Raw genomic sequence first — 14,659 nt, 5'->3', positions numbered from 1 at the left:
TCTCGCTCTGTTGCCCAGGCTGGGGTGAAGTGGCTCCATCTTGGGTCACTGCAATTTCTGCCTCCCGGGTTCAAGTGAATCTCCTGACTTAGCCTCCCGAGTAGCTGGGATTACAGGCACATGCCACCACACCCAGCTAAGTTTTGTGTTTTTAGTAGAGACAGGGATTCCATCATGTTGGCCAGGCTGGTCTTGAACTCCCGACCTCAAGTGATTCACCCACCTCGGCCTCCCAAAAAGGCTGAGATTACAGACATGAGCCACCACACCCAGCCAATAATCCATACTTTTTTGATGTTGAGTAATAATATTCCATGTTATGGATGTTATGGAGATATTCCAATTTTATTATCTATTCGCATGTTGATGGACATTAGATTGTTTCCAGTTTTTGCTAGTAGAAATAAAACTGCTGTGAACACTCCTACATAAGCCTTTGTATGGATGTATGTTTTTATTTCTCTCTTTTTTTTTCTTTTAAATAGATACTGGGTCTCACTGTTACCCAGGCTGATCTGGAACTCCTGGGCTCAAGCAATCCTCCCGCCTCAGTCTCCCGAAGTACTGAGATTACAGGCATAAGCCACTGAGCCCCACCTTATTTCTCTTAAGTAAATAAATGCTTAGGAGTAGAATTCCTAGAACATATGGTACCTTTATATTTAACTTCATAAGAAACTCCTAAACTGGTTTCCAGAGTTGCTGTGTTCCCATCAGCAACACATCAGAAATTCAGCTCTTCTACCTCTTCACCAGTACTTAGTAAAATCAGTCTTTTTCATTTTAGCCATTTTAGTGAGTAGGAAATGTTTTCTCATTGTGGTTCTAGTTTGCATTTTCCCTGATGATGAATTATGGAAAGCACCTTCTCATGTGCCTGTAGGTCATTCATAGATCTTCTTTTGTGAAGTATTTATTCAAATCCTTTTCCTATTTTTCTATAGATCATTTATTATTTTATTGAGTCATTAGAGCTCTGTATACATTCTGGGCACAAGTCCCACTCCTCTGTGTAACTGGCAGCAGGGAGTGACTTGGCCTATCTTAGTTATCAGAACTAGTTATACTAATTATCAGAACCTCAGTGTCCACAAGAGTTAGGTGAACTGGCCTGGACTTCTGGATGTGGCTGACATCTGCTGCATTTAGTTAGTGTTCTGTGCTTTTTTTTTTTTTCTTGGAAAAAAGAGGTATGGCCTAGAAACCTTTTTCTTATTCTTTTAAGTCTGACTTCTGAACATGGCAGAAAGGCAGGAAGGCAGGAAGGCAGGAAGGCAGGTAGGCAGGAAGGCAAGAAGGAAGGAAGGAAAGAAGAAAGGAAAAAGAGGGGAGGGAGGGAGGGAAAGAAGAAAGGAAGGAAGAAAAGAGGGAAGGAGAGAGGGAGGGAAAGGAGGGAGGGAAGTGGGAAAAACATTTTCTATTCAAGCTCGCTGTATCACACATCAGCAGCTTCCTGGTTCTAAGTCATTAACTCCAAAGATCCCAGTTGGCCCCAGCAGGACTCTGTGTCCCACAACTTCTACCAACATCACTGCTCTTCTTGCAAAATATTCGTATGCTGCACAGCTCAGGCATCAGGAAGAGGATGTTACAGAGAAGACAGGGCACATGCGGAGTATCTCTCTGTAGAATCTTCCCCAGTAATCATCTGTCTTCTATAGAGTCCTCACCGTCACCTGTGAATAGGTGCAGGTTCTAAAACTCTGCAGATAGCAAGAGCTAACTTTCATTGATTGCCTTGTGAAATCTCCAGAAACCTTATCATTTTATAGATCAGGAAAATGAGGCTCATAGGGAGTATGTACTTTGCCCAACATCATGCAATAAATGGAAGTATCAGGATCTGAACCCAGAGTTAGTTCAGAGCCCAAGAAACTGATCACTTGCTTGCTTGCTTACTTGCTTGCTTGATTGACTGATTGGAGAGAATCTTCCTTATTCCTTCCGGAAATAAACTAACAAGTAAAAAGACTTAGGGAACCTTCACAAGTCTGTGCCATATAACAGGATAGAAGGAACAACATGAAAATCAAGGTACCTAGAAACAGGCAGTTAACCTAATTCTAGTTCACCAATTTGAGAAATTTTTCAAGTATCTCTGCTCCAAATTGAATAATTTTCCAATTTCCTCCTTAAGGTAATTTTTTAAACTACTGATTTTCATAGGCTTGAGCGCATGAAAAGCCGACCACTGTGTGTCTTTTTAATTAGATCCTTTACATGATAATTAAAATCTCTCTCTGCATCATAGCTATTCTTAAACTCTGCAGTAATGCTCTTCGGACTGGAAGTTAGCTGACCATCTGGAAGCAATAAAATATCTTAACCTTAAAATGCAAACTATCAGTTAGAGATACCACAAATTAGACCTACTCGTCATTGCTTTAATGGGTAAATGCCAGGACTCCATCCTTCATTCTGTCTAATCGGGAGGCTACAGACTCTCACAGTTGGAACAAGGCTTTTCAAAGTCAAATAGGTCTTCTTTCTTCCTCTTTGCAGAACCCATCACGAATAGACCTCCCATGGAATCTCCCTAAGACATACTATATCCCAGATGGAAATTCCAAGCCTGTTTTTGGAAACTTCTTCCAAAGTTTATTCCTTGTTTGGGGCTGGGGACTAAGACTGGCCTTGGAAGTAAGAGAGGGAAAATGAACATTGGCTAGAAGCTTGGAAAGGGTTGGAATGCAGAAAGGTTATAAAGAGGGACGAGCAGGAGAATGAATTATGAAAGAGAAATGTCAGTGAATCCAGGTAAAGGAGGATAGATAAAGAAGAACGAATCATTTGCTGTGGTACCCAAGAATCCTTACCATGGATTCAATTTACAATATTCCTTAAACTTGAGGCGGACTGGTGGAAGCGGTTAGATAATGGCTGAGATCATGTGTCCACAGAGGTGAAAGCATGATTAGTATAGTTAGTGACTCAGAAATGTATTTCAGTGATGCAGATGGTGGCTGTGCCCCTTCCATATAGAACAACTCCCCTTTCAGATGTCATGCCATTGTCGTCACTTGTGGAAACAAATGGAGACTACCCAAATAAGAACAGGCAAAGGCAATTTATTCAGAGCTTGCTATACCAAAGAAGTTGGCCAGCATCCCTTGCGTTCTGTAACTGCCCACTGGGTTCACCTTACCAGCTGCCTAGACAGAGCTGATTTATCAAGACAGGGGAATTGCAATGGCAAAAGAGTAATTCACGCAGAGCCAGCTGTGTGGGAGACCGGAGTTTTATTATTACTCAAATCAGTCTCCCCAAGCATCCGGGGATCAGAGTTGTTGTTTTTTGTTTGTTTGTTTGTTTGTTTTGAGACGGAGTCTTACTCTGTTGCCCAGGCTGGAGTGCAGTGGCGCGATCTTGGCTCACCGCAAGCTCTGCCTCCCAGGTTCATACCATTCTCCTGCCTCAGCCTCCTGAGTAGCTGGGACTACAGGCATGCACCACCATGCCCAGCTAATTTTTGTACTTTTTTTTTTTTCAGTAGAGATAGGGTTTCATCATGTTGGCCAGGATGGTCTTGATCTCTTGACCTCGTGATCTGCCTGCTTTGGCCTCCCAAAGTGCTGGGATTACAAGTTATCTCTTTTTAAAACATTTTTTAAACATTATGTACAACCACACACCTACAGAAGTGTTGACAAATCAAGAAATGGACAGATCAAAGGCTTAGCACAAAGCAGCCACTTGAGTAACCAACACTCAGGTTGAGAAACAGAACATCAGCACTGTAAACCGAAAATAAAATTCCAAGTCTCCCAACCATCTGAATCGACCCCTCCTCTCGGCCAAGGGCATTCCAAAGTTAGCTTGAAGAACTACTTCACACCATGATAGGAAGGGGGAGCTGGACATACCTCATTATACTCTTCTCTCTTTTGGAATTACTGATAGAACAGACTCTTTAAGTCTGATAAGAACTATTCACTATCTATTCTCTCTGAAGCCTGCTACCTGGAGGTTTCATCTGCGTGATAAAACCTTGGTCTCCACAACCCCTATCACAGGAACCCAGACATTCCTTTCTATTGGTAATATCTCTTTCAACCAATTGCCAATCAGAAAATCTTTGAATCCACCTATGACTTAGAAGTCCCCACTTCCAGTTGTCCTACCTTTCCAGACCTAACCAATGTACATCATACATGTCTTGATTGATGCCTTTTGTCTCCCTAAAATGTATAAAACCAAGTTCTTGCCTGAACACATAGGAGGCACATGTTCTCAGGAGCTCCTGAGGGCTGTGTCATGAGCCATGGGTCACTCATATTTGGCTAAAATAAATCTTTTCAACTATTTTACAGAGTTTGACTCTCTCTGTTGACAGCACCCAGAAGCTCCCTCTGTGCCTTCCCATCACTATTTTCTACCCTCTCCCTCACTCCATTTTTATGGCGTGAAATACAAACAAAGGCAGAACACTAGTTAAAATGGTAAGCCCATTTTAATCTGTGATAACTTTTGCACTAGGGAAGAGGATCCTACATGAACTGAACTCTAATTTGTCCAGAGGTGACTGGGCATTTTACAGGGAGATGAAGGAATAGGGAGTGGGCAAGTGGAGAAGCAAGGAGTGGAAAAATTACAAAGGGTTTGTGAGTGTAAGTGCTGATAAGGCCAGCTGAATGTACTAGCTGGCAATATCAAAGTTAAACTCTATCTTCCCATACAGACTGGGAGGCAGTGGCCATCTCCTTCCTGATGATTACATTTTTAAAGGAATGGCTTTTCTATCCTTGTGAAAACCACTCCTAGTTGTAGGAGATACATATACATCCCAAAGGGACAGAGGAAGGATTCACAATTGTAAGAACTTTTTAGTAAATACTGTAAGTACGGTCAGGGGCCTATGGTCAGGTGTTGGCTGGAAAAAACAGTAAGTTCACTTGATAGCATTGAGGTCCTCAGGTATGTTGCTTAAGGGGGTCCAGGATCATCTAAGGGATATATTCTTGAGTTGCTAGAAACTACGTTAGTGTTCATTTAAGTCTAAATCATTTATGTTGAGAATCTCTAGTTTTTATAAGCCAAAGTCAAGGTCTACTCAAAAGCACTCCAAGGAACCTGGCTAGAGTTTGGCCAAGGAGAGAATCTTTGTCAACGGTAAGCACTTTTTTGCTTTTTCTCATAGTTCTGTGACCTACACAACAAGTGGGTTTTGTCACTTGGCCGGTGGCAACACAATGACCACAACTAAGGAGGATTTAGCATGAGGATTTTATTACTTGTAATAAGTAAGGAGAACACCAGAGACAGCTCCCAAAGCAGTGCCTCCTTAAGCTGTGCACTCAGGTCAGGTAATGAGGTGTGATTTGAGTGGATCTTGCAATGAGGTGATGCTTGGAGGCATCTTGCAATGGGGTGATGCCAGAGCACAATCTGATTGGATCCTGGATCCTGCCATGTGGTGTCCCCTTCTTAATTCAGTCCCCTTTCCTGGCCTGAGCACTTAGGTTCCCCCTATGGTTGCACATTTGTTTCCTCTTGGCATGCTCAAGGCATCTTGGCATGCCTGAGGGTTCATGGCAGCTGAAAAGCAACTCACAACTCTGTTACATAAAAGTTGAACCAGATTGGTCTGGTGTAGCTGCAGTTTCACCACCTAACCATGCATCCCTAATCACTCTATTTCCGTTTTTCTTATTTGTTTGACTTCCTACAAATGAAGTCACACGTGACGCCTTCTTGGTGCAGGACATCTTTCAACATTGTTTGTGAGGCTCATTTGAGTGGTTGTGTGTAGAACTGGCTTGTTAATGTTGTTGCTGTAAAGCATTCCACTGAATTAATACATCACAATTATTTGTTTATGAACTTGAGTTGTCTCATTTTAGAACTATTACAGATACTGCCGCTGTTAATGTCTTTTGATGCATGTGTTCACATTTCTTTTAGGTATATTCCCTAGCAGTGGAATTATTAGGTCACAGAGTAGGCATATGTTTAACTTTAATAAAAACAGCCAAATGATGTTGTAAAAGTTTAAACTCCCACTAGCAATATATGAGAGTTCTAATTACTCCATATATCCTTGTCAACCATTAGAATTGTCAGAGGGTTCGGTTTGTTTGCTTTTAACTATTCAGATGGATGTACAGGGTTATTGAATAGTGGTTTTAGTTTATTGTGGTTTCTCTGATTATTCATGAAATTAGCCCCTGTTTATTGGTAGTTTGAATATCTTCTTTTGTAAAGTGACTGTATTTTATGTCTATAGTTCTATTGGTTATTTTCTTATTGGCTTGTGTTTTTTATATACTTTAGTTATGACTTCTTTATTGTTGACATATATTGTATGAGTAATGCTGTCAAGAAACATCCTTCTTTATGTCTTTCAGCATGCAATAAGGACGCATTTATATTGGGTGGAATGTTTAGGAGCAAATTTTTTTGGTCACAGGATATGTGGTATCTTTCGCTTTAATACATTTTAAAAAACTATTTTCCAAAGTGGTTTTAACAATTTAAACACCACAAGTAGTATATGAAAATTCCCTCTGCTCCACATCGTTGCCAATAAACTTATTATTGTCAGACTTTTAAATTTCAGCTATGCAGACCCAATGGGTAGTGCTATAACTTGTGGTTTTAACTTGCATTTTCATAATTACTAATGAGATTTAATACCTTTTCATGTGATTATTGGATGTTTAAATATGCTCTTTTTTGAAGTATTTATTCAGATGTCTTATCCAGTTTTAGTTTTTGTTGTTTGTCTTTCTTATTGATTTATAGAAGCTATTTATATATTCTTTCACAAGCCCTTTGTTGGTTTGTTCATCACAAATGTCTCTTTTCACTTGTTTGACTGCCTTTTCATTCTTTCTCTCTCTCTCTCTCTGTTTCTCTCTCTCTCTTTAACAGTTACTGGTTTATTGTAAGGGATGTTGAAGCGACATCATTGTCTGGGGTAAATACTCAAGATTTGTTTTCTCACGGCCACAGAAACTAGGATGCAGACACTCCAGAGTGAGGTTAAGAGCAGAAGTGTAATAGGCAAAAGAAAGAAAAGAGCTCTCAGCACAGAGAGGGGGTCCTGGAGAGAATGGGTTTCCGCTTCTGCAGTGAAATGCAGAAGCTTTTATAGATGAGCTTGAGGAGGTGGGGTCTGATTTACATAGGGTGCAAAAGATTGGTTGGACCAGGTGTGCCATTTACATAGTGCGCGAAAAACTGGTTAGGACTAGGTGTGCCATTTGCATAGCACACAACGAAGCTGGCCACCCATGTGGCCTGTTCCTCTACTGCACACATGGTGACAAAGAAAAGGGGAGATGGAGCCACCATATTGAACATGCCTGGCCCTCAGGTAGCCCTGCTCTATTGGCACTGCTGCTAGTATTCACCCAAGCAAGCTTCCAGCTTGCTTATCTACGTTTGCAGCTTGCTTTTTCAGACTGCTCTTCATTAGAAAAGAAATGATTTGGGGCTGCTTTTTGTTAAAAGGGAAACCGTACCAAGGACTCTTTTGCCCTATCTGCCTAAATAGTTTCTTTATATCTCCTGTATCAATATTACCAAGGATACAGATGAAGAGATGCCTAGGGTGAGGTAAGGGGGAAGGGGTGTGGCACTTCCATGCCCTCCCTAGTCGCTCTACCCTCCAGGAACCTCCATGTGTCTAGCTATCTGGGAGTTCTCCAAATCCTGTCCTCTTGAGTTCTTATGGAGGATGCATTACTTAGGAATGATTGATTAAACCATTGGCTGTTGTGATCAGATCAACTTGACCTTCAGCTCCCACCCTTCCTTTGAGGTTGGGAGACGAGGTTAAGTCTCAACCCCCTAATCATACATTTGTCTTCAGGTGACCAGCTCCACCCTGCAGCTATCAGTCAACATGAGCATACAAAAAGCCTGCACTTTGGCAAGTCCAAGGATTTTAGGAGTTGTATGCCAGGAAACAGGAGGAAGACTGCCTTTTTTTCCCCCCTCTTAAAGGTGTTTTATCTTATTTTTTTAATTAAGAAAATCTTTTATCTTCAAACAGGCTATTATTTTTAATGTGTAATCTCTTTTGTGATTTTCATGGCCCTTTTTAAGGAAACTTTTCCTACCCCCATGGTCAGAAAATATTCTTGTATATCATTTCCTAGAGGCTTGTTGTTCTGCTTCTCACTTTACGGCTACAATGAATCTGGAATTGAATTTTACATGCGATGTGATCAATTCATTAAGGCTCTGATGTTCTACTCTGGCCATCCCAGCATGGACATTCCTCTCTCCCCACTTGGGCTCTGACTCTCTACTCTGGGCCATCATGGGTCCCCACTGTCCGAGGCATTTAAACCAGAGTGACTCCATCTTGAATAGGGGTTGGGTAAAATGAGGCTGAGACCTGCAGGGCTGCATTCCCAGGAGGTTAGGCATTCTTAATCACTGGATGAGATAAGAGGTCTGCACAAGATACAGGTCACAAAGACCCTGCTGATAAAACAGCATACAGTAAAGAAGCCGGCCAAATCCCACCAAAAGCAAGATGGCAATGAAAGTGACCTGGTTGTCCTCACTGCTCCTTATATGCTAATTATAATGCCTTAGCATGCTGAAAGACACTCCCACCAGTGCCGTGACATTTTACAAATGCCATGGCAAAATCCGGAAATTACCCTATATGGTCTAAAAGGGAGAAGAACTCTCAATTCTGGGAATTGCCTGCTCTTTTTCAGGAAAACTCATGAATAATCCACCCCTTGTTTAGCACATAATCAAGAAATAACTGTAAGTATACTCAACCAAGCAGCTCATACCACTGCTCTGCCTGCGGAGTAGCTATTCTTTTGTTTCTTTACTTCTCTAATAAACTTATTTTCACTCTATGGACTCACCCCGAATTCTTTCTTGCGTAAGATTCAAGAACCCTCTCTTGGGGTCTGGATTCAGACCCCTTTCCCATAACACCACCATGGATACGTCTCTTGCTCTGCCCTACCTAATGGCTTTAGGACTGATTATTTAGGAAGGTGAGGGAAAGGAAGGAAAGAAAGAGGAAAAGAAGAAAAAAAAGGAAGGAGAAAAGGAAAGCAGAGTTTTAAATTTTAAGTTAACCTCTGTACTCTTGCAACATGGATTTAATATAGAATTTGAAACATAATATGGCATTGCGGCCGGGCGCAGTGGCTCATGCCTGTAATCCCAGCACTTTGGGAGACCGAGGCGGGCAGATCACGAGGTCATAAGATCGAGACCATCCTGGCTAACACGGTGAAACCCTGTCTCTACTAAAAATACAAAAAATTAACCAGGCGTGGTGGCAGGCGCCTGTAGTCCCAGCTACTCAGGAGGCTGAGGCAGGAGAATGGCGTGGACCCGGGAGGAGGAGCTTGCAGTGAGCAGAGATCACGCCACTGCACTCCAGCCTGGGCAACAGAGCGAGACTTCATCTCAAAAAAAACAAAAAACAAAAAACACACACACACAGAAAAAAAGCCAGGACAAAGAGATGGGATAGGTGTATACTTAGGATAAGGTGCAAGCAGGTGGAAGAAGCACACGGTCTGAATTCCAATTATATTCATATGTTCCCTTTCTTTTTTCCCTGCATCAGTCTTCCCTGTTGATGGTGTGGTTACAATGACCAGAGTTGAGGTCCATGCAGAGTTGAGTAAGAGGCTGAAGTCAATAAAACACATGGGATCTGTGAGAGAAACACATTGGATCTCAGAGGCAAGCACAGTTGTCCTTCATATCCCCGGGTTCTGCATCCATGGATTCAACCAATGGCAGCTCCAAAATATTCAGAAAAAGAAAAACAATAAAAAATAACAGTACAACAATAAAAGGAATACATATAAAAATACAGTATAACAACTATTTACATAGTATTTCCATTGCATTAGGTATCATAAATAATCTAGAGATGATTTAAAATACATGGGGCCAAGACTGGTCACAGTGGCTCACACCTGTAATCCTAGCACTTTGAGAGGCCAAGGAGGGTGGATTTCTTGAGCAAAGGAGTTCAAGACCATCCTGGGCAATACAGCGAGACCCTGACTGTACAAATAAAAATTTGTTTTAATTAGCTTGTCATGGTAATGCACAACTGTAGTCCCAGCTACTCAGAAGGTTGAGGCAAGAGGATCACTTGGGCCCAGGAGTTCAAAGCTGCAGTGAGCTATGATCGCACCACTGTACTCTAGCCTGGGCAACAGAGTGACACCTTGTCTCTAATAAACAAAATAGAAAGTATACAGGAGGGTGTGAGTAGGTTATATGCAAATATATAATATAAGAGACTTGAGCATCCCTGGATACCACTGTATGCCCACCTCTAGGGAAGGCAACAATTAGGCTAATGAACATCGAAGGATTTTATCTGCATTTTCTTGAGCAGAGCAATGTGGGCCAGAATGGGATCATAGCAGGCGCACTCATGGGTAGCCAATTTGAGGGTGACATATCTGTCATTCTAGTAGGGACATGATTGTATTAGTCTGCTCTCATGCTGCTAATAAAGACATACCTGAGACTAGGTAATTTATAAAGGAAAGAGGTTTAATAGACTCACAGTTCCACATGGCTGAGGAGGCCTCACAATCATGGCAGAAGATGAAGGAAGAGCAAAGGGGCGTCTTACATGGTGGCAGGCCAGAGAGCTTGTGCAGGGGAATTCCCCTTATAAAACCATCAGATCTTGTGACATTTATTCATTATCACAAGAGCAGTATAGGAAAAACTCGCCCCCATGATTCAAGTACCTCCCACCAGTTACCCCCATGACATGTGGGAATTATTACAATCCAAGGTGAGATTTGGGTGGGGACACAGAACCAAACCGTATCAATGATCTGTACCTGAAGAAAGTTATTTCCCTCCTTTTCTTTTTTTTCTTTTTCTTTTTTTTCTTTTTTCTCTTTTTTTTTTTTTTTTTAGACAGAGTCTCGCTCTGTTGCCAGGCTGGAGTGCAGTGGTGCATTCTCAGCTCACTGCAACCTCTGCCTCCTGGGTTCAAGCGATTCTCCTGCCTCAGCCTCCCGAATAGCTGGGATTACAGGTACGTGCCATCACACCCAGCTAATTTTTGTATTTTTAGTAAAGTCGGATTTCACCATGTTGGCCAGGATGGTCTTGAACTCCTGACCTGTGATCTTCCCACCTCAGCCTCCCAAAGTGCTGGGATTACAGGAGTGAGCCACTGTGCCCAGCCATTTCCCTCCCTTTCTACCCATAAGGAACATTCTTGTCTGTTCCATCCTTTTTATCATAGAAAATGTCTTTCTGGTTACCCACTTAACTGCTATCTAAACTTCACATTTTTCAAGAATTCTGCATATATTTTGCAAGCTGATAAGTTAATCATTATGTGTATTTAACATATTTTATAAATTTTCACCCATCCTATTTATTTCCTTTCCTCTATAATGGAATTAAATATTCTCCAACAGTGCAAAAAAAGTGGCCACATTGAGGGTTTCCTCTACAGAAATCCTCTTTAAAGATTATGTATAGTGAGTTTCATGGACTTTTCACTACCATCATGGACAACGGCATTACCAGCACTTGCACAGCCATAGTAATGGCCGCCAAATACATGGACTGGATGGGTATCTCCTGCTTACTCTGGAAAGTTAACTGTAGGAAAGCCCATCTGCTTCAAGCTGCAGCTGAGCCTCACTCAGTCAGAAGTGTAGCATGTGCCTCATGGTATAGGCACAGGTAGCAGCCCAGTCCATGTATCAGATGAAGCTACACTCAAGGCAGGGGACTGGATGCCTAAATTGAAACTGCTTTTGCAGAATTAAAAGTAATGGGAAAAATCTAACATGATTGAATCCATCTTGCTTCTAACTTCACAGGCTGAATTGTTTTGTTTTGCTTTGCTTATTCTAGTGCGGAGGCCAAGATAACTATAAGAGGAATTTAGTTTGTAGTTAAACTTTGAGAGAAGAAAAACTGATGCCTACCCCTTGTTAGGATATTGCATAAGACAAGAATAAAATTATAATAGCGGCTTAAACTTTGCTAAAGAATAGGCAAAGGTAAACAATAAGCTGCCATTGCTTAGCTTATTTTTTTAATAAATTGCTTACTGCCTCAGAGTCACATAACTGCAGGGGTCATAAGATTTATGACTTCCTGGCCGGGCACGGTGGCTCACGCCTGTAATCCCAGCACTCTGGGAGGCCGAGGCGGGCGGATCACGAGGTCAGGAGATCGAGACCATCCTGGCTAACACGGTGAAACCCCATCTCTACCCAAAACACAAAAAATTAGCCAGGCGTGGTGGCGGGCACCCTGTAGTCCCAGCTACTTGGGAGGCTGAGGCAGGAGAATGGCATGAACCCGGGAGGCGGAGCTTGCAGTGAGCCGAGATTGTGCCACCACACTCCAGCCTGGGTGACAGAGCAAGACTCTCTCTCTCAAAAAAAAAAAAGATTTATAACTTCCCCAAGTACTTCCGTAGATAACATCACTACTGTGAAACCTATTGAACTGGTCTTTACAGTTATTTTTCAGATTTAGCATTTCAGCAGACCAAGCGAAGCCACCTGGTCCTGAGGTGTCCTCCTGGCAACTGACTCAATTGTGTAAAGACGATGTTAGACACCCTGTGATTTCATCCTCCACCAATCAGTTGTTTCAGTGTCCCAGCCCCCTGCCTGCCAAAGTGCCCTTATAAAACCCTAGCCTCCAAATTCTTTTTTTTTTTTTTTTTTTTTTGAGACGGAGTCTCGCTCTGTCGCCCAGGCCGGACTGCGGACTGCAGTGGCGCAATCTCGGCTCACTGCAAGCTCCGCTTCCCGGGTTCACGCCATTCTCCTGCCTCAGCCTCCCGAGTAGCTGGGACTACAGGCGCCCGCCACCGCGCCCGGCTAATTTTTTTTTGTATTTTTAGTAGAGACGGGGTTTCACCTTGTTAGCCAGGATGGTCTCGATCTCCTGACCTCATGATCCACCCGCCTCGGCCTCCCAAAGTGCTGGGATTACAGGCGTGAGCCACCGCGCCCGGCCGCCTCCAAATTCTTGAGGAGATGGATTTAAGAAAATTTCTCCCAGTCTTCTTGCTTGGCTGGCACTGCAATTATTAAACTCTTTAATTGCTGCAATACCTGGTGTTCTCATTGTTTTTGTGGTGGGAGGCAGTGGGCAAGAAGAATCCATCAGGCTGTGAAAAAACCACCTGGGGAAGACAGGTAACTAGTTAGCCAGCTGTGTGGGCACACACTGAGCCAGGCAGCAGAGATGTTGTCATTAATCCAACAGAAGCTGTTGGGATAACTGCATTGGTCAACTTTGAACCTTCAACTATCCTTGCATTCCTGGAATGAACATAGTTTAGTGGTAATATAGTATCCTTTTTTTTTTTTTTCTGAGACAGAGTCTCACTCTGTCTCCCAGGCTTGAGTGCAGTGGCTCTATCTCGGCTCACTGCAAGCTCTGCCTCCCAGGTTCACACCATTCTCCTTCTTCAGCCTCCTGAGTAGCTGGGACTACAGGCGCCCACCACCACACCCGGCTAATTTTTTTTAAGTTTTATTTTTAGTAGAGACGAGGTTTCACCATGTTAGCCAGAATGGTCTTGATCTCCTGACCTCGTGATCCACCCACCTCAGCCTCCCAAAGTGCTGGGATTACAGGCATGAGCCACTGCACCTGGCCTGTATCCTTTTCTATATATTGATGGATTTGGTTTGTTAATGCTCTGGATAGAATTTTTACATCTGTGGTCATGAGTAAGATGGGCTTGTAATTTTTGTTTATCATAATGTCCTGTCACATTTTAACAGCTTTATAGACAGCTAATTTATATATTATAAAATGTACCCATCATAAGTGTACATTCCATTGATTTTTAGTAAGTTTATACAGTTCCGCAACCATCACCACAACACAACTTCAGAACATTTCCATCACCCCCAAAAGCTTCCTATAAATGTTTTCATAATTTTACAATGCATACTTTTTTTGCATCTGTCTTCTTTCCTTAGCAAAACATTTTTGAGGTCTAATGATGTAACATATATAAATCATTTGTTTTTATTGCTGAATAGCAATCCATTGTATACAATCATCACATTTTGTTAATCTGTTCACCAGTTGATAAATATTTGGGGCTGCCTCTAGTTTTGAGTTATGAATAATCCTGCCTCAAACATTCACATATGTGTCTTTGTGTGGAAATATATTTTCATTTCTTTTTGTAGATCCTAAATGTGACATTCCTGAGTAATATCATAAGTATGGGTTTAACAATTTAAGAAACTGCAAATTGCTTCCCAAAATTGCTGTTCCAGTTTACATTCCCCCTAGTGATGAATGAAATTTCTAGTTCCTCCATACACTGACTAGCACTTGGTAATGTCAATATTTTTTATTATAATCATTCTAGCAGTGTATAATGGTTTTGATTTGCATTTCCCTAATGACTAAGGGTGTTGAGCATCTTTTCATGTAATTATTAACCATTTGTATATCTCTTTGGTAAAATATCTATTCAAATTTCTTGGCTGTTTTTAATTAAGTTGTTTATCTTTTAATTAAAATTTGAGAGTTCTTTCTATATTCTAGATGCAAGTACTTTCTCAAGAATGTGACTTGAAAATGTTTCCTTCCTGTCAGTAGCTTCTTTTTATTTTCTTAAAGATATCTTTTGAAGTACAAAAGTTTTTTTATTGTTTTAAAGAGTTCAATTCATCAATTCTTTTCATAA

Source organism: Homo sapiens, chromosome 7 (genome assembly GCF_000001405.40).
Source record: "Homo sapiens chromosome 7, GRCh38.p14 Primary Assembly".
In the NCBI taxonomy this organism is placed as follows: Eukaryota; Metazoa; Chordata; class Mammalia; order Primates; family Hominidae; genus Homo; species Homo sapiens.
Note: the sequence above shows the minus strand (reverse complement) of the source record.